General features: G+C 52.4%; 1 protein-coding gene and 1 non-coding gene across 3 annotated transcripts in view, besides 2 other annotated features; both read left to right on the top strand.

The window, feature by feature from the left end:
* The window catches only part of NOTCH3 (notch receptor 3), a 41,958-nt gene extending 21,266 nt beyond the window's left edge, over positions 1 to 20,692 (top strand). For both annotated transcript variants that reach the window (XM_005259924.5, NM_000435.3), the window contains 13 exons: positions 234 to 366; positions 448 to 705; positions 789 to 907; positions 1,640 to 2,205; positions 5,330 to 5,662; positions 8,905 to 9,059; positions 9,177 to 9,399; positions 9,560 to 9,644; positions 12,319 to 12,481; positions 13,639 to 13,943; positions 14,215 to 14,362; positions 17,168 to 17,265; positions 18,016 to 20,692. In XM_005259924.5, coding sequence (XP_005259981.1) covers positions 234 to 366; positions 448 to 705; positions 789 to 907; positions 1,640 to 2,205; positions 5,330 to 5,662; positions 8,905 to 9,059; positions 9,177 to 9,399; positions 9,560 to 9,644; positions 12,319 to 12,481; positions 13,639 to 13,943; positions 14,215 to 14,362; positions 17,168 to 17,265; positions 18,016 to 19,068 — 3,639 coding nt within the window. In that variant the 3' untranslated portion in view covers positions 19,069 to 20,692. The remainder of the gene's footprint in view (positions 1 to 233; positions 367 to 447; positions 706 to 788; positions 908 to 1,639; positions 2,206 to 5,329; positions 5,663 to 8,904; positions 9,060 to 9,176; positions 9,400 to 9,559; positions 9,645 to 12,318; positions 12,482 to 13,638; positions 13,944 to 14,214; positions 14,363 to 17,167; positions 17,266 to 18,015) is intronic.
* Positions 380 to 447, top strand: MIR6795 (microRNA 6795). Its single transcript, NR_106853.1, has one exon. It is a non-coding gene; the product is annotated as a microRNA 6795 (primary transcript).
* Positions 1,916 to 2,085: a silencer, noted in NCBI's record as "silent region_10267". NCBI's record gives its function as "represses an Ori minimal core promoter by ATAC-STARR-seq in GM12878 lymphoblastoid cells {active_cell/tissue: GM12878}" and the evidence as "EXISTENCE:reporter gene assay evidence [ECO:0000049][PMID:35858748]".
* Positions 8,806 to 9,396: an enhancer, noted in NCBI's record as "H3K27ac-H3K4me1 hESC enhancer chr19:15281145-15281735 (GRCh37/hg19 assembly coordinates)". NCBI's record gives its function as "activates a minimal SCP1, AML or CMV promoter by ChIP-STARR-seq in naive H9 embryonic stem cells {active_cell/tissue: H9 hESC(naive)}" and the evidence as "EXISTENCE:reporter gene assay evidence [ECO:0000049][PMID:30033119]".

The raw sequence follows: 22,590 nt of genomic DNA, 5'->3' as shown, positions 1-22,590 counted from the left end.
TTGTATTTTTCATAGTGACAGGGTTTCACCATGTTGGCCAGGCTGGTCTCGAACTCCTGATCTCAGGTGATCTGCCCACCTCGGCCTCCCAAAGTGCTGGGATTACCTACTGGTAGTGCGCTGAACATCTGTGTGTGTCCTTTTGTGCTGGGGTTCTTTGCGTCTTCATGGGTATGTCCAGGTGGGTCTGTGTCCCACTAAGCTGAGTGGGTCCCTCTCTTACCCCACTGAAGTGTCTTCCTGGCTACAATGGTGATAACTGTGAGGACGACGTGGACGAGTGTGCCTCCCAGCCCTGCCAGCACGGGGGTTCATGCATTGACCTCGTGGCCCGCTATCTCTGCTCCTGTCCCCCAGGAACGCTGGGTATGCCAGGGCCAGGGTTGGGGGGACAGGATGAGAGGCTGTCTTCATTCCCTCTTGACCACCCCTCGTTTCTTCCCCCAGGGGTGCTCTGCGAGATTAATGAGGATGACTGCGGCCCAGGCCCACCGCTGGACTCAGGGCCCCGGTGCCTACACAATGGCACCTGCGTGGACCTGGTGGGTGGTTTCCGCTGCACCTGTCCCCCAGGATACACTGGTTTGCGCTGCGAGGCAGACATCAATGAGTGTCGCTCAGGTGCCTGCCACGCGGCACACACCCGGGACTGCCTGCAGGACCCAGGCGGAGGTTTCCGTTGCCTTTGTCATGCTGGCTTCTCAGGTAAGCGTTGGCGAAGGGGCTGGCCTGGGACCCCGCCTGTCATTCCCCCATTGTGGCTGATCTACATGCTCCCGCTCGCTCAGGTCCTCGCTGTCAGACTGTCCTGTCTCCCTGCGAGTCCCAGCCATGCCAGCATGGAGGCCAGTGCCGTCCTAGCCCGGGTCCTGGGGGTGGGCTGACCTTCACCTGTCACTGTGCCCAGGTAGGTGTGGGTGGCGGCCTTTGGAGGAGGAGTAGGGGCGTGGCCTCTGGAGTAGTAGGGGCGTGGCGTCTAGGAGGAGGATGTGGCTTTAGGGGAGACATCGAAGGGAAGGGAGTTTCTGGAAAATGCTGACATTTCCGCCGGGTGTGGTAGCTCACACCTGTAATCCCAGCACATTGGGAGGCCGAGGCGGGAGGATCACTTGAGGCCAGGAGTTAGAGACCAGCCTGGGCAACATGGTGAAACCCCGTCTCTACTAAAAATATAAAAATTAGCCGGGCGTAGTGGCAGCTGCCTGTAATCCCAGCTACTCGGGAGGCTGAGGCAGGAGAATCACTTGAACCCGGGAGGCGGAGGTTGCAGTGAGCCATCACGCCATTGCACTCCAGCCTGGCGACTGAGTGACACTCCGTCTCAAAAAACAAAGAAACAACCCCCTGCCCCGACATTTCCTGGAGGTTTGAAGGGAAAAGGGTGAGGATGGTGATTGGGGGGCGTGGCCTCCTGGGATGGCAGGGCTTATCTGCCAGGTGGGGTCTCCAGTGTGGAAAGGGGAGCGGTTGGGTGGGACATGGGGAGGTTGAGGGGGTCTCAACCTTCCTTAGTCTTGACCTCTTCTCTTCCCCCTCTCTCCCCTTGACTCTTCTTTTCCCCACTCCTCCATTTCTTCTCCTCCTTCCCTCCACTCCCCACCCTCATTTTTATCCCTCCCTCCCCAAACCCGACCCCCAGCCGTTCTGGGGTCCGCGTTGCGAGCGGGTGGCGCGCTCCTGCCGGGAGCTGCAGTGCCCGGTGGGCGTCCCATGCCAGCAGACGCCCCGCGGGCCGCGCTGCGCCTGCCCCCCAGGGTTGTCGGGACCCTCCTGCCGCAGCTTCCCGGGGTCGCCGCCGGGGGCCAGCAACGCCAGCTGCGCGGCCGCCCCCTGTCTCCACGGGGGCTCCTGCCGCCCCGCGCCGCTCGCGCCCTTCTTCCGCTGCGCTTGCGCGCAGGGCTGGACCGGGCCGCGCTGCGAGGCGCCCGCCGCGGCACCCGAGGTCTCGGAGGAGCCGCGGTGCCCGCGCGCCGCCTGCCAGGCCAAGCGCGGGGACCAGCGCTGCGACCGCGAGTGCAACAGCCCAGGCTGCGGCTGGGACGGCGGCGACTGCTCGCTGAGCGTGGGCGACCCCTGGCGGCAATGCGAGGCGCTGCAGTGCTGGCGCCTCTTCAACAACAGCCGCTGCGACCCCGCCTGCAGCTCGCCCGCCTGCCTCTACGACAACTTCGACTGCCACGCCGGTGGCCGCGAGCGCACTTGCAAGTGAGCCCATCCACCCGATCGATCCGTCTGTCTATGCATCCATCCCAGTCTGTTTGTCCGTGGGCCCTGCCTCTCTTTCCACCTGCCCATCCACTTGCCCCGTCTGTTTCTCTGTGCACTCTATCTGCCCATCGGTGTGTCCCACGTGTCTGTCCGTGTGTCTGTTCATCCATGTGCTCTGTCTATCTTGTTCTTGTTTCTATCTGCCTATGCACTTCTCTGCCCCGTTTGTCTGCCCTTTTCTCCATCCAATAATTACTTTTTTTTTTTTTTCCCGAGATGGAGTCTTGCTCTGTGGCCCAGGCTAGAGTGCAGTGGCGCGATCTCGGCTCACTGCAACCTCTGCCTCCCGGGTTTAAGCAGTACTCCTGCCTCAGCCTCTGGAGTAGCTGGGATTACAGGTGTGAGCCACCGTGCCCAGCCGAATTCCTTTTTTTTTTTTTTTTTTTTTTTAAGACGGAGTCTCGCTCTCTTGCCCAGACTGGAGTGCAATGGCTCCATCTTGGCTCACTGCAACCTCCGCCTCCCGGGTTCAAGCGATTCTCCTGCCTCAGCCTTCCGAGTAGCTGGGACTACAGGTACCTGCCACCACGCCTGGCTTTTTTTTTGTATTTTTAGTAGAGACAGGGTTTCACCATATTGGCCAGGCTGCTCACGAACTCCTGACCTTGTGATCCGCCCGCCTTGGCCTCCCAAAGTGCTGGGATTACAGGTGTGAGCCACCGCACCTGGCTCCTTTTTTTTTTTTTTTTTTTTTTTTTTAAGACAGGGTCTTGCTCTGTGGCCCAGGCTGGAGTGCAGTGGTGTGATCTTGGCTCAGTGCAATCTCTACCTCCTGGGCTCAAGTAACCCTCACACCTCAGCCTCCCTAGGAGCTGGGACCACAGGTGTGAGCCACCGCGCCCGGGTAACTTTTGTGCTTTTTCTTAGAGATGGGGTTTCGCCATGTTGTCCAGGCTAGTCTTGAACACCTGAGCTCAAAGCAATCCACCCAGCTTAGCCTCTCAAAGTGCTGGGATTGTGGGCCTGAGCCACCACATCTAGCCTAAAAATTCCTTTTATTGGCCGGGCACAGTGCTCACGCCTGTAATCCCAGTACTTTGGGAGGCAGAGGAGGGCAGATCACCTGAGGTCAGGAGTTTGAGCTTGGGCAACATGGTGAAACTCCGTCTCTACTAAAAATACAAAATTAGCCGGGTGTGGTGGCACATGGCTGTAATCCCAGCTACTCAGGAGGCTGAGGCAGGAGAATTGCTTGAACCTGGGAGGTGGAGGATGAGGTGAGCTGAGATCGTGCCATTGCACTCCAGCCTGGGCAGCAAGAGTAAATCTCTGTCTCACCAAAAAAAAAAAAAAAAAAAAAAATTGCTTTTGTTCCTCTGTGTACCCAACTGTCTTCCTCCACTCCTGTTTGTCCATCCTTGGGCCGAATCTGTCCATCCATGCACTCTTTTTGCTCCTCTATATGGCTATCTGTGGGTGCCCCTGACTATCTCTGCCCCTCTTCTGCCCCTCTCTCTGTCTGTCCTAGGCAGTCCATCTGTCCATCCCTACACCCTGCCCCTTCTGTCCTCTGCGTACCTCTCTGTCTGCTTGGAACCCTCCACCCCCTTAATCTCCACATCCTCATCTTCTCTGCTTTCCCCTCACTCACTCTGTTCCAGCCACCCTGGCCTCTCTGCTGTTTCCCAGATACCCCAGGCTTGATCCCATATCAGGGCCTTTGCACAAGCTGTTCCTACTGCCTGGCTGTTCCCTTCCCCCACATGGCTCCTCCCTCACCTCCTTCAAGTCTTTGCTGAAATGGTGGTACCTTCTCAGTGAGCACCTCCCTGGTCACCCCCAGCCCTTCCTCTGCTTTATTTTTCTGCTTAGCATTTAATTCCATCCAGCACTATGTGTGTGCGTGCGTGTGTGTGTGTGTGTGTGTGTGTATATACATATATATACATATATATATATATATATGTATTTTTTTTTTTTTTTTTTTTAGACAGGATTTCTCTCCCATTGCCCAGGCTGGAGTGCAGTGGTGTGATCTTGGCTCACTGCAACCTCCACCTCCTGGGTTCAAGCTATTCTCCTGCCTCAGCTTCCCGAGTAGCTGGGATTACAGGCGCCCGCCACCATGCCTGACTAATTTTTGTATTTTTAGTAGAGACGGGGGTTTCACCATTTTGGCCAGGCTGGCCTAGAACTCCTGACCTCAGGTTATCCGTACACCTTGGCCTCCCAAAGTGCTGGAATTAGAGGCATGAGCCACCGCACCCAGCCTGTATTTTTATTTTATTGATGAGTAATGGAGATGCTGTATATTTGGCTCATGTATCTCCCTTACTATCTGTCTTCACCCAGTGGAATGCCAGCTGCACGTGGACCAGGAATTGTGGCCGGGCCTTATCCTTGTGCCTGCAGCAGTGCCCAACACATGGTAGTCAGTTAGTATTTACTGATTAATTAATAGTTAGCCAGTGAGGCCGGGAGTGTGGTGTGGGTTTGTAGTCCTAGCTACTTGGGAGGCTGAAGAGGGAGGATAATTTGAGTCCAGGAGTTTGAGATTGCAGAGAGCTATGATTGCACCACTGCACTCCGGCGTGGGCAACAGAGCAAGACCCCATTTCAATCAATCAATTTAAAAAAATATTATCAAGGGCTGCGTGCGGTGACTTATGCCTGTGATCCCAGCACTTTGGGAGGCCGAGGCAGGTGGATCACCTGAGGTCAGGAGTTCAACAGCAGCCTGGCCAACATAGTAAAACCCCGTCTCTGCTAAAAATACAAAAATTAGACGGGCGTGGTGGTGCATGCCTGTAATCCCAGCTACTTGGGAGGCTGAGGCGGGAGAATCGCTGGAACCGGGGAGGTGGAGGCTGCAGTGAGCTGAGAGATCATGCTACTGCATTCCGGCCTGGGCGACAGAGCAAGACTCCGTCTCAAAAAAAAAAAAAAAAAATTATCCAGTGAATGGCAAGATTTGCAGAAAGCCTGGCATGGGTCCGTATATTCCAGTCCCCTGTGCAAGCCTTGTCTGGAGTCTCTGTACTCTACGGTGTGAATGCATGGAAGGGGATTGTCTCCTCTGACCCCTGACTCCGCCCCTCTCTGCCTCACCCTTCCCCACCAGCCCGGTGTACGAGAAGTACTGCGCCGACCACTTTGCCGACGGCCGCTGCGACCAGGGCTGCAACACGGAGGAGTGCGGCTGGGATGGGCTGGATTGTGCCAGCGAGGTGCCGGCCCTGCTGGCCCGCGGCGTGCTGGTGCTCACAGTGCTGCTGCCGCCAGAGGAGCTACTGCGTTCCAGCGCCGACTTTCTGCAGCGGCTCAGCGCCATCCTGCGCACCTCGCTGCGCTTCCGCCTGGACGCGCACGGCCAGGCCATGGTCTTCCCTTACCACCGGCCTAGTCCTGGCTCCGAACCCCGGGCCCGTCGGGAGCTGGCCCCCGAGGTGATCGGGTGAGTGACCCCACCTGGAAAAGCCGTGGTGGCTGGGGAGAGGAGAGATGCTGTTGATCCAGGTCTTGTGTGTTTCATTTCACTTAATGCCTTTACCCACCAGATGTCAGGAGCACCGCCTCCTGGCTGTGACAAGCAAAAAATGCCTCCAGATGGAGCTAGTGCTTCTGGGGTAGAATTGCCCAGGTCTAGTGCTGGCTTGTGGGGAGGCAGGTTGCTAAGTGGCTTGGCAGAGTGGTTAAATACATGTGTAGGGTTTTTTTCTTCTTCTTCTTCTTCTTCTCCTTCTCCTTCTCCTTCTCCTTCTCCTTCTCCTTCTTCTTTTCTTTTTTTTTTTTTTTTTGAGACGGAGTCTCTGTCGCCCAGGCTGGAGTGCAGTGGCGTGATCTCAGCTCACTGCAACCTCTGCCTCCTGGGTTCAAGCAATTCTCTGCCTCAGCCTCCAGAGTAGCTGGGATTACAGGCATCCACCACCACACCGGGCTAATTTTCTTCTTCTTAAAGACATAGAAGATAAAGCCGGGCACAATATATTCTTGTAGTCCCAGCTACTTGGAGGATCACTTGAGCCCAGGAATTCAAATCTAGCCTGGGCAACATAGCAAGACTCCCATCTCTCTCTCTCTTTTTTTTTTTTTTTTTTTTTGAGACGGAGTCTCGCTCTGTCGCCCAGGCTAGAGTGCAGAGGCGCGATCTCGGCTTTCTGCAAGCTCCGCCTCCCGGGTTCATGCCATTCTCCTGCCTCAGCCTCCCGAGTAGCTGGGACTACAGGCGGCCGCCACCATGCCTGGCTAATTTTTTGTATTTTTAGTAAGAGACGGGGTTTCAGTGTGTTAGCCAGGATGGTCTGGATCTCCTGACTTCGTGATCCACCTGCCTCGGCCTCCCAAAGTGCTGGGATTACAGGCGTGAGCCACCATGCCCGGCCTCCGATCTCTTAAAAAAAAAAAAAAAAAAAAAAAAGAAGAAGAAGAAGAAGAAGAAGAAGAAGAAGAAGAAGAAGAAGAAGAAGAGGGAGGAGGGAGGGGGAGGGGGAGGGGGAGGAAGAGGAAGAAGAAGGAAGAGGGGGAGGGGGAGGAGGAGGAGGAAGAGGAAGAAGAAGAAAGAAATAGGAGGGGCTCGGTGGCTCACGCCTGTAATCCCAGCACTTTGGAAGGCAGTTCATTTGACGTCAGGAGTTTGAGACCAGCCTGGGCAACATGGCAAAACCCTGTCTCTACTAAAAATACAAAAAATTAGCCAGGCGTGGTGGTGTATGCCTTTAGTCCCAGCTACTCAGGAGGCTGAGGCATGAGAATCACTTGAACTCAGGAAGTGAAGGTTGCAGTGAGCCAAGATTGTGCTACTGCACTCCAGCCGGGGCAACAGAGCCAGACTCTGTCTCAAAAAAAAAAAAAAAGAAAAAGAAAAAATATAGAAGTATCCTGCTAGTGGCCTGGTAGAGGTACCAGAAGGGAGGTGTAGCTATTGTTGAGGAGAAGGCAGAGACCTGAGAGGGGTGGGTCTCTGATACAGAGAGGAGGGTTGGGTTTTGCAGATATTGGGATGTGGGTGGTGGAAGGGGAGGGGTAGAGGGATGAAGGAGAGTGGTTGGTGTACCAGCCCCTGGCTAAGCTGAGTGATAGGGCCACAAAGTGAAAAACAGGTCATTTTGGAGCTTGCAGAGTCTGAGGGACCTGGAAGTATTGGGAAGGCCTCCAAGGAGATACCTGGGGGCTAAAGACACAAACAAGAAAGATATAAAAGTGTTGATGATCATTGAAGCCATGAGAGGGACTCAAAGGAGTGGGGAGAGAAGGAACAGAAGAATTAATCTGGGGACACGGAGACCTAAGGATTGGATGAATGGAATTAGCTCAAAAAAGAGGAAGAGGCCAGGTGTGATGGCTCACAACTGTGATCCCAGCACTTTGGGAGGTTGAGGCGGGTGGATCACCTGAGGTCGGGAGTTCAAGACCAGCCTGACCAACATGGAGAAACCCTGTGTATACTAAAAATACAAAATTACTGGGGCGTGGTGGCGCATGCCTGTAATCCCAGCTACTCAGGAGGCTGAGGCAGGAGAATTGCCTGAACCCTGGACGTGGAGGTTGTGGCGAGCTGAGATAGCACCATTGCACTCCAGCCTGGGCAACAAGAGTGAAACTCTGTCTCAAAACAAGCAAACAAACAAACAAATACAATGTCCTGGCCAACACGGTGAAACCCCGTCTCTACTAAAAATACAAAAATTACCTGGGCGTGGCAGCGCGTGCCTGTAATCCCAGCTACTCAGGAGGCTGAGGCAGAGAATCACTTGAACCAGGGAGTCGGAGGTTGCAGTGAGCTGAGATTGCACCACTGCACTCCAGCCTGTCGACAGAGCAAGACTTCATCTCAAAAACAAAAAACAAACAATGTCCCTTGGCTGGGCGTAGTGGCCCAGGCCTGTAAACCCAGCACATTGGGAGGCTGAGGTGGGAGGATTGCTTGAGCCCCGGAGTTCAAGACTAGCCTGGGCAACATAGTGACACCTAATCTCTATGCCTCCACCCCCAACCCCCCCCAAAAATTAGCCAGGTGTGGTGGCACATGTCTGTGGTCCCAGATCTTTGGGAGAATGAGGTGGAAAGATTGCTTGAAGGCGGGAGGTCAAGGCTACAGTGAGCTCTGATTTCGCCACTGTGCTCTAGCCTGGGCGACAGAGTGAAACCGTCTCAAAAAACAAAACAGAACAAACAAACAACAAAAAAAACAGGCCAGGCACAGTGGCGGCTCACGCCTGTAATCCCAGCACTTTGGGAGGCCAAGGCAGGGAGGATCACTTGAGGTCAGGAGTTCAAGACCAGCCTGGCCAACGTGGTGAAACCCCGTCTCTACTAAAAATACAAAAAAATTAGCTGGGCATGGTGGCACACGCCTGTAATCCCAGCTACTTGGGAGGCTGAGGCAGGAGAATCGCTTGAACCCAGGAGGGGAAGTTGCAGTGAGCCGAGATCGCACCACTGCACTCCAGCCTCGGTGCAAGATCAAAAAATAATATCCATTGGATTCATGGCTCTGGGGGGACTGCTGACCACAGCAAGACACGTTTTAGGGGTGCAGTGGGGTTGGATGCCAGGTGGATGCAGGTGGGCCATGGAGACCTGTGGGTGGAGATGGCGCTTCAGAGCCAGGCGCTGGGGAGGGAAAGTGGGGCTTGGTACCAGGGGGTGCATCGGGCAATTTTTGAGCCCTCTGGTCCCTCCCTGCTGTCCCTGCAGCTCGGTAGTAATGCTGGAGATTGACAACCGGCTCTGCCTGCAGTCGCCTGAGAATGATCACTGCTTCCCCGATGCCCAGAGCGCCGCTGACTACCTGGGAGCGTTGTCAGCGGTGGAGCGCCTGGACTTCCCGTACCCACTGCGGGACGTGCGGGGTGCGGCCCTGCCTTGGGGAGGGGGTGGCGGGGGCGGAGCTGGGGGCGGCCGAAGCCCCGCCTGAGGCCAAAGCCCCGCCCTCGGCTGAAGCCCCGCCCTCTGCTTCCTGCTCTTAGGGGAGCCGCTGGAGCCTCCAGAACCCAGCGTCCCGCTGCTGCCACTGCTAGTGGCGGGCGCTGTCTTGCTGCTGGTCATTCTCGTCCTGGGTGTCATGGTGGCCCGGCGCAAGCGCGAGCACAGCACCCTCTGGTTCCCTGAGGGCTTCTCACTGCACAAGGACGTGGCCTCTGGTCACAAGGGCCGGCGGGAACCCGTGGGCCAGGACGCGCTGGGCATGAAGTGAGAACCCTGCTCGCTCCCTGTCCCTGACTACGGGGACCTTGTGAACCCTGGACCCCGCCTTGACCTGACTCAGACCTCTGACCCCACCCCAAATCCTCCTTCCCAGCTGGACACCTCTAGTGTCCCCCTCACATCCCCTCTTCCCATTGTCCGCCAGGAACATGGCCAAGGGTGAGAGCCTGATGGGGGAGGTGGCCACAGACTGGATGGACACAGAGTGCCCAGAGGCCAAGCGGCTAAAGGTACTGCCCCCCCTCTGACCTTTGCCCCCTCCTCTGACCCCTCCCCTCAGGGTACTGGGTGGGGTCCCCAGTGGATGATGGGCGTGATCAGGGGATGGCACCGCTGTCCCCACCTCCCTAGCTCCAGAGAATAGTCCCAGCTTTGCAACCCTTTCTTCTCAGTGTGGTTCTGTGACCTCAGAGGGAGGAAGATTTGCCACTGGGGCCCCAAGGGTCCCTCCGGGCAGGTGGAAAATCCTCCCCTCCATCCTGCCCCTCCCCAGCCAGGATCCTGCTTCCTGGCCAGCCTGCACTCTTCCTGGAGGTGTCCCCCCAGCCCAGAGAGCGAGTCTGCCTTATCTCTGTCAGTTCCTATTTTGTCCAGCATGGACTTAGCCTGAAAGTGCTCTGAGCCGGTTCTGAGCTCATGGAGTCATGCCCCTGGGTTCAGTATGAGTCAGCTTTGGCTGCCATTAAAAAATCCCACAGAGGTGGATCACCTGAGGTCAGGAGTTCGAGACCAGCCTGACCAACATGGTGAAACCCCGTCTGTACTAAAAATACAAAAGATTAGCTGGGCATGGTGGCGGGCACCTGTAATCCCAGCTACTTGGGAGGCTGAGGCAGGAGAATCCCTTGAACCTGGCACTCCAGACTGGGCAACAAGAGCGAAACTCCGTCTCAAAAAAAAAAAAAAGTCCCACAGCATGGGTGACCTAAACAACAGAAATTAATTTTTTCACGGTTCTGGAGGTTGGAAGTCCAAGCCCAAGGTGCTGTCAGGGCTGGTTCCTGGTAAGGGCTCTCTTCCTGGTGTGCAGATGGCCGCCTTCTCACTGTAGCCTCACATGGCCTTTCCTCTGTGTACACAGAGGGGAGAGAGAGAGAGAGAGAGAGAGAGAGAGAGAGAGAGAGAGAGACAGATTTGACATCCCATCCTCTTCTTGTAAGGATACCAATCCTATTGGATTAGGGTCCCACATTTATAACCTCATATAACCTTAATTACCTCCTTAAAGGCCCTATCTCACCAGGCTTGGTAGCTTGCACCAGTAATTTCAGCTACTTGGGAGGCTGAGGCAGGAGGATCACTTGAGTCCAGGAGTTGGAGCCTGCAGTGAGCTATGACTGCATCACTTCACTCCAGCCTGGGTAACAGAGCAAGACCCTGTCTAAAAATAAAGTCCTATCTTCAAATGCAGGCACATGGAAATTTTATATATTATTTAGGGTTTTAGTGTATGATTTCTGTTTATTTATTTATTTATTTTTTGAGACCAGGTCTCACTCTGTTGCCCAAGCTGGAGTGCAGTGGCGTGATCTTGGCTCATTGCAGCCTCCACCTCCCAGGTTCAAGTGATTCCCCTGCCTCAGCCTCCCGAGTAGCTGGGATTATAGGCATGTGCTACCATGCCCGGCTAATTTTTGTATTTTTAGTAGAGATGGGGTTTCACCATGTTGGCCAGGCTGGTCTCAAGCTGCAGACCTCAAGTGATCCACCCGCCTCGGCATCCCAAAGTGCTGGGATTACAGACGTGAGCCACCGTGCCCGGCCATTGTATGATTTTTAGAGGGGGCACAATTGAGTCCATACAGATCCTGCTAGCATTACTGAGGCACCCGCTGAATGTCTCTAATGCACATAAAACATCTTATTTCATCTCTCTGAGGACGCTGTAAAGTAGCTATTGACATATACTTCAATTTACAAACTCCCTTCCTCTGTCCATATTTTAATGTTGTGAAATGGAATCATCTATTACAGTGGACAGATAAAAAAACCTGCTCAACCCAGACTTTTCCTTCTGCCTTCCCATCCCAAAGTAGGTATTAGAGGTATTAAAGGGGTGGCCCAATGTAATTGTGGTGGTATCTTAGCATGGTGGAATGGCTGCGTCATCCTGATTTTGCCAATGAGAAGCTCAGAGCTTCAAAGTGATTTGCCCAGAGCCTTCCAGCTACTAAGGGGTGGGGTTGGAACTTGAACCTGGATCAGATGCTATCCCAATCTGCTTATACTGTGTGCTTATAGTCCCAGCTACTTGGGCCGCTGAGGTGGGAGGATCATTTGAGCCCAGGAAGTTGAGGCTGCAGTGAGGTATGATTGCAGCACTGCACTCCAGCCTGAGTGACACAGTGAGACTCAGTCTCTAAAAAATATATACATAAATAATTAAAGCCATTTATTACTCAAAAAGACCAAAAAAAAAAAAAAAAAGAAACCTTGTGTCTTCCTTTTATTACCTCCTTGGGCTATGGCACACATTGATTTCCTGTTAATCTCAGCACTTTGGGAGGCTGAGAGGGGCTGATCACCTGAGGTCAGGAGTTCGAGACCAGCCTGGCCAACATGGTGAAACCCCTTCTCTACTAAAAATACAAAAAATTAGCTGGACACCGTGGCATGTGCCTGTAATCCCAGCTACTCCAGAGGCTGAGGCAGGAGAATCACTTGAACCCGGGAGGCGGGGGTTGCAGTGAGCTGAGATCATGCCACTGCACTCCAGCCTGGGGGACAGAGCGAGACTCTGTCTCAAAAACAAATAAAACACCAAACAGATGGTAAATGATTTCCCAGGGCTCTGTGTGTATCTCCTAAAGAGAAACCTGTAGGAATGCCCAGCCCCATCCCTGGCAGTGGCTCTCCCCAGCACCAAAGGGTGAGATCTGAGATCCAGGGTGCCTGCCCCTCCAGGTAGAGGAGCCAGGCATGGGGGCTGAGGAGGCTGTGGATTGCCGTCAGTGGACTCAACACCATCTGGTTGCTGCTGACATCCGCGTGGCACCAGCCATGGCACTGACACCACCACAGGGCGACGCAGATGCTGATGGCATGGATGTCAATGTGCGTGGCCCAGGTTAGTGACAGTGCCCCTCCCAAAGGGATGCCCCTCACCCATCCTACCTGTGAGAGGTTATTTCTGACTCTGTGTTTTGGGGAGAACTGGGGGAGTCTCTAAGCTTCTGTGAAGGGTGTGTGTATTCAGCAACACTCTTGGTTGGAAGTGACAAAGGTCCAACTCAGACTAGCTTAAGTAAAACAAGGGATTTATCAACTCATTTAACTAAAAGTGGCACATTTGGATCCAGGACTCAGTTTTCCCCTCTCTACCCTTTGACTCCAATCTTACAAAACCTTCTTAATGCTCCAGAAAAGTCTCAGGATGCATTCTGATTGGACAGACTAGGGTCACGTGCTCATCCTTGAGCCAATCAGTATGACCAGGGGGCTGGAATATGCAAATTGACCAAGCCTGATTCACATACCTGTCTTTGAGCTGGTGGGGGTCGGGTCTGCTGGTGGAGCGGGGAGGTCAGTCTCTACCCAGGGCTTGAGAATGGAGAACCGGATGCAAGTGGCTCCCTAAGAAAAATGAGGACAAGTGCTTGTGTACAGTGTGTGCAGTGTAGCGGACTATGTTGTTTGATCCTCTTAGATCCATCTTTGTTATGTTTCAGGGCATTCCTGCCTTAGCTTCATTTTGCTTATGCTCCAAATGGCCTGTACTTATGGCTCTCTTTTGAAGTCCCTCTGGCTGCTGGGGCCTGAAGTGCCTGGGATTTTATGTCCCTGGGGGCAGCTCTTTTTTTCCCCCCCCCTTTTAAAACACTCAAATGAATTGGCAGAAAGGGGCAGCTCCTAACCAGTGGGTGCAGGAGTATGAAGGGGATGGTTTCTTTGCCTTGAGTTGGATTAGAACTCTGGGGTACAACACATGTTCCAGAGTCCCTTTGGAGGATCAAGGTGGAATAACCCTTTGGGAATTTACTGGAGGTTGCACACTTGCTTGACTCCCAGAGTCCCTTGTCCTGTGTTCCCTGTGCCCTAGGAGTAGTTCTGTGACAAATCACGTGCCCACGAATCCTCATTCTGGGTGTGGGTGTGCAGACAGGAGGATCTGCTAATTGTCATTTTTCCATGTGTCCCATTAGCTCCTAATGGGGTACCCTTGATAACATTTCCTGGAAAAGGCCCTGTGTTTACCTTCCTGCTGACACACTCCTGTCCCTGCAGATGGCTTCACCCCGCTAATGCTGGCTTCCTTCTGTGGGGGGGCTCTGGAGCCAATGCCAACTGAAGAGGATGAGGCAGATGACACATCAGCTAGCATCATCTCCGACCTGATCTGCCAGGGGGCTCAGCTTGGGGCACGGACTGACCGTACTGGCGAGACTGCTTTGCACCTGGCTGCCCGTTATGCCCGTGCTGATGCAGCCAAGCGGCTGCTGGATGCTGGGGCAGACACCAATGCCCAGGACCACTCAGGCCGCACTCCCCTGCACACAGCTGTCACAGCCGATGCCCAGGGTGTCTTCCAGGTGAGATAGGCACACACTTTGGACCTCAGAGCTGGGGCAGGCATTAGACTTACCTGGGTTTGAGCCCCAGTTCTGCCTTTCAGACTCATTTTTTCTCATTTGGAAAATGGGGATATATGGGAATACAGTATCTGTCAAGCAGCTGCTCCCTGAACCTCACCAATTTCAGGGGTTGGGGTATGGGGGTTGGGGACTTCATGGGACTTAGGGGTGCTCCTGATTCCTCTGTTCCTGCCATGACCCCTCCTGCTGCATCCACTCTCTGTCCTAGATTCTCATCCGAAACCGCTCTACAGACTTGGATGCCCGCATGGCAGATGGCTCAACGGCACTGATCCTGGCGGCCCGCCTGGCAGTAGAGGGCATGGTGGAAGAGCTCATCGCCAGCCATGCTGATGTCAATGCTGTGGATGAGCTTGGTAGGTTGGCAGAGGAATCAAGTCTAAGCTGGGTTGGTGTCACCTGGGCCCTGAGGGTCATGTTGGTGCAAATTCATACCCATGTTGAGACCCAATCACTGAAGCTCACGCACACATAACCAGGCTTCATGAAGCCTGCAGGGTCATGCAGGGTCACCACTAGTCCTTAGGGTGCCTCAGGGATTTAGAAAAAGGTGCCTTTCCCCTAGATACTTCATTTCCACCTGCTTTGTTAGACGGACACACTGTACTTCCACCTGCTGGAAGTTATTATAATAAACGTACACATCAGGCCATGTGTGGTGGCTCATGCCTGTGATCCCAACACTTTGGGAGGCTGAGGCAGGAGGATGACTTGAGGCCAGGAGTTTGAGACCAGACTGGGCAACATAGTGGGTTCTACAAAAGTTTTTTGAAAGATTAGCCATGTGCGGTGGTGCATACCTGTGGCCCTAGCTACTCCAGAAACTGAGGTGGGAGGGTCGTTTGAGCCCAGGAGGTTGAGTCTGTGAGCCGTGATTGTGCCCCTGCACTCCAGCCTGGGGGACAGACTCCATCTCAAAAAAAAAAAACAGTCTCCAGACGTTGCCAAATGCTCTGGGGGCTGGGGGCAGGGAGTTTCTCCTAGTTGAGAGCCACAGTTCTAGGGCAGGGCTGGCCAATAGGACTTTCTGTGATGATGGAATTATTCTCTGCACTGTCCAGTATAGTAGCCACTGGCCACATATAGTGACTTGAAATGTGACTGAGGCAAATGAAGAAGTAAATGTTTTAGTTCATTTAATTTTTTTCTCCTTATGTTGCCCTTTTTTTAATTTTTTTTTTTGAGACAGAGTCTCACTCTTGTCACCCAGGCTGGAGTGCAATGGTGTGATCTTGGCTCACTGCAACCTCCACTACCCAGGTTCCAGTGATTCTCCTGTCTCAGCCTCCCAAGTGTCTGGGACTAAAGGTGCCCATCACCATGCCTGGCTATTTTTTTGTATTTTTAGTAGAGACGGGGTTTCGCAATGTTGGCCAGGCTGGCCTCAAACTCCTGACCTCAGGTGATCCACCTGCCTTGGCCTCCCAAAGTGCTGGGGTTATAGGCATGAGCCACTGAGTCCATCCTTTTTTTTAAAAACAAAAAACAAAAAACAAAAAACTGCTTTATTGAGATATAATTAACATGCCATACAATTCACCCATTTAAAGTGTACAATTCAATGGCTCTTAGTATAATCAGAGTCATACAACTATTACCACAATCAATTTTAGAACATTTCATCACCTGAAAAATAAATTCTCACCACTTGGCCATCATCTGCCAAGCCCCTCATCTGTCCAGCCCTGTGCAACCACTGATTTGCTTTTTGTCTTCATGGATTTGCCTGTTCTGGACATTTCATATAAATGTAATCATATGATACGTGGTCTTTTTTGTCTGCCTTTTTTTCAGTTAGCATTATGTTCTCAAGGTTCACCCATGTTGTAGCATAGTTCAGCTGAATAATAATCCATTGTGTCGATGGACCACTTTTTTTTTCTTTTATTTTTAGACATAGGGTATCACTCTGTCACTCAGGCTGGAGTGCAGTGGCATGATTACGGCTCTCTGCAGCCTCAAACTCCCAGGCTCAAGTGATCCTCCCATCCCACCCTCCTGAATAGCTGGTATTACAGGTGTGTGCCAGCATACCTGGGTAATTCTTAAATTTTTTGTGGAAATGGGGTCTCACTTTGTTGCCCAGGCTGATCTCAAACTCCTGGCCTTAAGCAATACTCCCACCTTGGCCTCCCAAATTGTTGAGATTATAGGCGTGAGCCACTGTGCCTGGCCAAAAGTTTCAATTTTGATCATGTCCAATTTATCTGTTTTGTAGTTGTTATTGTTATTTGTGGTTTTGGTGTCACATCTAAGAATCTTGGCCTAATTCAAGGTCATGAAGATTTACTCTTATGTTTTCTTCTAGATGTTTAGTTCTATAGTTGGAGCTCATATATTTAGGTTTCTGATCCATTTTGAGTTAGTGTTTGTATAAAGTGTGAGGTAGGGGTCCAACTTCATTCTTTGAATGTGAATATTCAGTTGTTCCAGCACCATTAGTTGAGAAGACCATTCTTTCCCCATTGAATGGTCCTGGCACCTATTTTATTAAATTTAAATCTAAAGAACCACATGTAGGTTGGGCACGGTGGCTCATGCCTGTAATCCCAACACTTTGGGAGGCCAAGGCTGGTGGATCACTTGAGCTTAGGAGTTTGAGACCAGTTTGGGCAACATAGTGGAACTCTATCTCTATCAAAAATACAAAAAATCAGCTGGGCATGGTGGTACATGCCTGTAGTCCCAGCTACTAGGGAGGCTGAGGCAGGAAAATCGCCTGAGCCCAGCAGGTAGAGGTTGCAGTGAACTGAGATTGTGCCAATGGACTCCAGCCTGGGTGACAGAACAAGACACTACCTCAAAAATAAATAAATGGATAAATAAAAACCACATGTGACTGACTACTGTATTGGATGTCACAACCCTAGGTTCAACTGAAGGAGGTCCACACAGCACCCCCTGTGTATAAACAGTCATGCACATGCACGCACACACACACACACACACAAACACACACACACAGACACAAAGTGCTTCCCCATTGCACAGAGTCATTTTGCAGATTTGCACACACATGGATCCAGACACAAGTACTTGGATATTCACGGCAGGCCTGCCTCCTCTACCCCTAGGCCACATTCTAGACAATTTCTGCCTCCCTGACATGGGGGCCCCAGGACAGGTGCCTGGTCCTGACCTCTCTCCCCTTCATCCTCCAGGGAAATCAGCCTTACACTGGGCTGCGGCTGTGAACAACGTGGAAGCCACTTTGGCCCTGCTCAAAAATGGAGCCAATAAGGACATGCAGGATAGCAAGGTGAGCCCCAGCCCTTGGTCCACTGGGTGTCAGCAGTGGCACAGTGCCATTGCAATCCAGCCTGGGCAACAGAGTGAGACTCTCTCAAAAAACAAAACAAAATAAAACCCCAAACATTGGATTAAAATATAATTTACTTTGGTGACTAAAGTTTTTGGGGGCCCCTTAAATTTTGTGCCTAATGGCTGGGTGTGGTGGTTCATGCCTATAATCCCAGCACTTTGGGAGGTCGAGATGGGTGGATTACTTGAGTTCAGGAGTTTGAGACCAGCCTGGCCAACGTAGTAAAACCCTGTCTCTATTAAAAATACAAAAATTAGCTGGGCGTAGTGGTGCACACCTGTAGTCCCAGCTGCTCGGGAGGCTGAGGCAGGAGAATCGCTTGAACCCGGAAGGCTGAGGTTGCAGTGAACTGAAATGGCGCCACTGCACTCCAGCCTGGGCGACACAGTGAGACTCTGTCAAAAAAAAAAAAAAAAAAAGACAAGAAAAAAAAAGTTATGCCTAAGGTGAGTACCTCGCTTAACTCACCCTAGTCCTGGCCTTGACCTCTGGCACTTAGTAGGTGATGGATGAATGTGGTTTAGAGGAAAGAACTTGTCCAGGCTCCCCCAGCACAGCCGGGATTTAACCCAGGTCTGTCAAGCTCCAGTGTACAAACTCATAGCTCTCGGGCTCCCCCAAGAGGCTGGAAGACTTTGCTACTGTTAGCTGGGGTTTCGCTGACCTCTGTGGGTTCTGGCCCCCCAGGAGGAGACCCCCCTATTCCTGGCCGCCCGCGAGGGCAGCTATGAGGCTGCCAAGCTGCTGTTGGACCACTTTGCCAACCGTGAGATCACCGACCACCTGGACAGGCTGCCGCGGGACGTAGCCCAGGAGAGACTGCACCAGGACATCGTGCGCTTGCTGGATCAACCCAGTGGGCCCCGCAGCCCCCCCGGTCCCCACGGCCTGGGGCCTCTGCTCTGTCCTCCAGGGGCCTTCCTCCCTGGCCTCAAAGCGGCACAGTCGGGGTCCAAGAAGAGCAGGAGGCCCCCCGGGAAGGCGGGGCTGGGGCCGCAGGGGCCCCGGGGGCGGGGCAAGAAGCTGACGCTGGCCTGCCCGGGCCCCCTGGCTGACAGCTCGGTCACGCTGTCGCCCGTGGACTCGCTGGACTCCCCGCGGCCTTTCGGTGGGCCCCCTGCTTCCCCTGGTGGCTTCCCCCTTGAGGGGCCCTATGCAGCTGCCACTGCCACTGCAGTGTCTCTGGCACAGCTTGGTGGCCCAGGCCGGGCGGGTCTAGGGCGCCAGCCCCCTGGAGGATGTGTACTCAGCCTGGGCCTGCTGAACCCTGTGGCTGTGCCCCTCGATTGGGCCCGGCTGCCCCCACCTGCCCCTCCAGGCCCCTCGTTCCTGCTGCCACTGGCGCCGGGACCCCAGCTGCTCAACCCAGGGACCCCCGTCTCCCCGCAGGAGCGGCCCCCGCCTTACCTGGCAGTCCCAGGACATGGCGAGGAGTACCCGGCGGCTGGGGCACACAGCAGCCCCCCAAAGGCCCGCTTCCTGCGGGTTCCCAGTGAGCACCCTTACCTGACCCCATCCCCCGAATCCCCTGAGCACTGGGCCAGCCCCTCACCTCCCTCCCTCTCAGACTGGTCCGAATCCACGCCTAGCCCAGCCACTGCCACTGGGGCCATGGCCACCACCACTGGGGCACTGCCTGCCCAGCCACTTCCCTTGTCTGTTCCCAGCTCCCTTGCTCAGGCCCAGACCCAGCTGGGGCCCCAGCCGGAAGTTACCCCCAAGAGGCAAGTGTTGGCCTGAGACGCTCGTCAGTTCTTAGATCTTGGGGGCCTAAAGAGACCCCCGTCCTGCCTCCTTTCTTTCTCTGTCTCTTCCTTCCTTTTAGTCTTTTTCATCCTCTTCTCTTTCCACCAACCCTCCTGCATCCTTGCCTTGCAGCGTGACCGAGATAGGTCATCAGCCCAGGGCTTCAGTCTTCCTTTATTTATAATGGGTGGGGGCTACCACCCACCCTCTCAGTCTTGTGAAGAGTCTGGGACCTCCTTCTTCCCCACTTCTCTCTTCCCTCATTCCTTTCTCTCTCCTTCTGGCCTCTCATTTCCTTACACTCTGACATGAATGAATTATTATTATTTTTATTTTTCTTTTTTTTTTTACATTTTGTATAGAAACAAATTCATTTAAACAAACTTATTATTATTATTTTTTACAAAATATATATATGGAGATGCTCCCTCCCCCTGTGAACCCCCCAGTGCCCCCGTGGGGCTGAGTCTGTGGGCCCATTCGGCCAAGCTGGATTCTGTGTACCTAGTACACAGGCATGACTGGGATCCCGTGTACCGAGTACACGACCCAGGTATGTACCAAGTAGGCACCCTTGGGCGCACCCACTGGGGCCAGGGGTCGGGGGAGTGTTGGGAGCCTCCTCCCCACCCCACCTCCCTCACTTCACTGCATTCCAGATGGGACATGTTCCATAGCCTTGCTGGGGAAGGGCCCACTGCCAACTCCCTCTGCCCCAGCCCCACCCTTGGCCATCTCCCTTTGGGAACTAGGGGGCTGCTGGTGGGAAATGGGAGCCAGGGCAGATGTATGCATTCCTTTGTGTCCCTGTAAATGTGGGACTACAAGAAGAGGAGCTGCCTGAGTGGTACTTTCTCTTCCTGGTAATCCTCTGGCCCAGCCTCATGGCAGAATAGAGGTATTTTTAGGCTATTTTTGTAATATGGCTTCTGGTCAAAATCCCTGTGTAGCTGAATTCCCAAGCCCTGCATTGTACAGCCCCCCACTCCCCTCACCACCTAATAAAGGAATAGTTAACACTCAGTGTTGTTGGTCTGTGTCTAGGTAAGGTGGGGAGTGGTGGCAGTGGGACTTCTATCTCCCCCACCCAGGGCTAACTTGAGCTCCCATCTTGGGGTAAATACATTTGACTTGCCAGTCTACTTATGCTTCCTCTTTTGGCAGATGACTACCGATTGGATTAGTGGTTGTCACCTGACTTAAGCTGAGCCAATCAGATTCTTTTGCTCGAGAACTTTCTTTAATGGAGAGGCTAAGAAAGTTGTCAGTTGGTGGAGCTCTTAAGGTCACAATCAGATTTAGAAATATCAGTGGCCAATTCGAGGTGGTGGGCAAAGAGACAAGCAAACAGGGCAGAAGAATGAAGCTAATATTCAGGGAGAATCAGAAATGAGAGCTCAAATGGCTCCTTGAGGGCTGGGGGGGTTATCTCGGCTCCCAGTGCAGTTATCAATTCCAGTTAATTGAGTGTTCATTCCATTGAGATCAACAGGTATTTATTAATTGCTTTCTAAGTATCTGATCATGGTTCTGCATGAATTTCACTTTTACTTCATGCTCCTATGGGTTTTGGAGATAACCTTGGACCCATGTAATAAATACTTCTTTACTTGTGCCAGCTTCGGTGGGTTTCTGTTACTCGCAACCAGTCGTGCTCCAAGACAAGGTTCTGTTTACACTGGTGTCTTCAGGAAAGGAGGATAGGATTTAATGTTCGTTGATTCTGTCAGTTGGAGTGCTCCTGGTTGCAAATGACACAAAAGTCTACTGGCTTAAACAAGAAAGGGGTTTATTAGCTCATATAAATTAAAAGGACCTACTTCAGGGGAGAATTGATCTAGTGGCTCAAATGTGGTCAACAATGGCTCAGTTTCTCTTCATCTCTACAGCTTTCTCTGGGCATCAGTTTCATCTACATGCTCCACATGGCACCCAGTAGAACCTCTCTTCCCGACATCACACAGCTCCAGCCTTCTCTCTGTGTTATCAAAATAGGTGCCATATTGCTCCTTCCAGGGAAGAGAGAAACTCCTAGTATTGTGATTGATTTTTCTTTTACTTTCTTCCTTTTTTTTTTTTTTTTTTTAAGATAGAGTCTTGTTCTTGTCACCCAGGCTGGAGTGCAATGGCACAATCTCGGCTCACTGCATCCCCCGCCTCCGGGTTCAAGCAATTCTCCTGCCTCAGTCTCCCAAGTAGCTGGGATTACAGGTGTCCACCTCCATGCCTGGCTAATTTTTGTATTTTCAGTAGAGACAGGATTTCACCATGTTGGCCAGGCTGGTCTCGAACTCCGGACCTCAGGTGATCCATCCACCTTGGCCTCCCAAAGTGCTGGGATTACAGGCATGAGTCATCGCACTCGACCTTGTGGTTGATTTTTCTATTGACTCCAATTGGTTCACGTATCCACCCTCTAACCTAAGGTTTCTTAATTTCGGCATTATTGACATTTGGGGCCAAATCATTCTTTGCTGTGGGGAGCTGTCCTGTGCATTGTAGGATATTTAATAGCATCTCTGGTCCCTACCCATTAGCTACCAGCAGCACCCCTTTTCCAGTTGTGACAACCAATATAACATGTCTCCAGACATTGCCAATTGTCATCTGGGAGGCAGATTCACACCTGTTGTTGTCTTAAAGCATGTCTTAAAGTCTCTTCTTTGGAACTACTGATGTGCTAAATTTAGGGGCAATCAGGTTTGCAGAAGCATGAATTCTGTGGAAGCTTCTAATAAATGTTTACTCCTCTCCCACCCCCTTTAGGCTAAGTCTTTGAAGATGAAACAGTCTCTTTTAGGTTTGTCTCAACTTTATTTTATGTTTATTCCCTTACCCTCTAACCTGTATTGGGCACCTACCGTGTGCCAACTCCCGGACAAGTTGTTGAGAATAGAATGGTGAATTATATAGGCCCAGTCTCTGCTTTTATGGAATTTCAGGCTAGTTGAGGGATGTATGGGGGGTGCACCCCTGTATACCCTTGGAACTTACCATTCTAGTGCTTGCTGACAGCATCTGACTGAACACCTGAGACTCTCCACCTGGGAACTTTCTCTTGTGTGGGGCAGGAGCAACCCTCAACATATGAGGGATGAATGAGAGATGGTGGATAAATACCCCAGCTTCCTCGCCACTCTCTGTGGGAATTCATGGATATGATCCACAGAGTCTCCCAAAGGATGCTCTTTGGGATTAAGCCCCAGTTGCCCACAGCAGCAACCTACTCTTCCTCACTCCTACTAGAGCTTTCTGGAATGATCTTGCGAATAAATTCCTTGCACTTGAATCATTGGCCCAAGAGAAGTCCATCTTAGCTTTATGCATGAGTAGATTCTTGGGAATAAAAAATAAAATATCTACTGGGGCTTAAGCAAGTTTGGGTATTCTTCTTCCCAAGTGCTGTACAAATGAGGAGAAAGTCCTTCTCCCTACCCATTTTGTCCACTCTATCATGCAACCTTGGCTTCATGTCAACAGAATATTGAAGAAGAGTGTCCCACAGCGGGAACCCAC

The sequence above is a fragment of the Homo sapiens genome, chromosome 19 (genome assembly GCF_000001405.40).
Source record: "Homo sapiens chromosome 19, GRCh38.p14 Primary Assembly".
NCBI lineage: Eukaryota > Metazoa > Chordata > Mammalia > Primates > Hominidae > Homo > Homo sapiens.
This window is presented reverse-complemented; position numbering and strand designations above follow the sequence as displayed.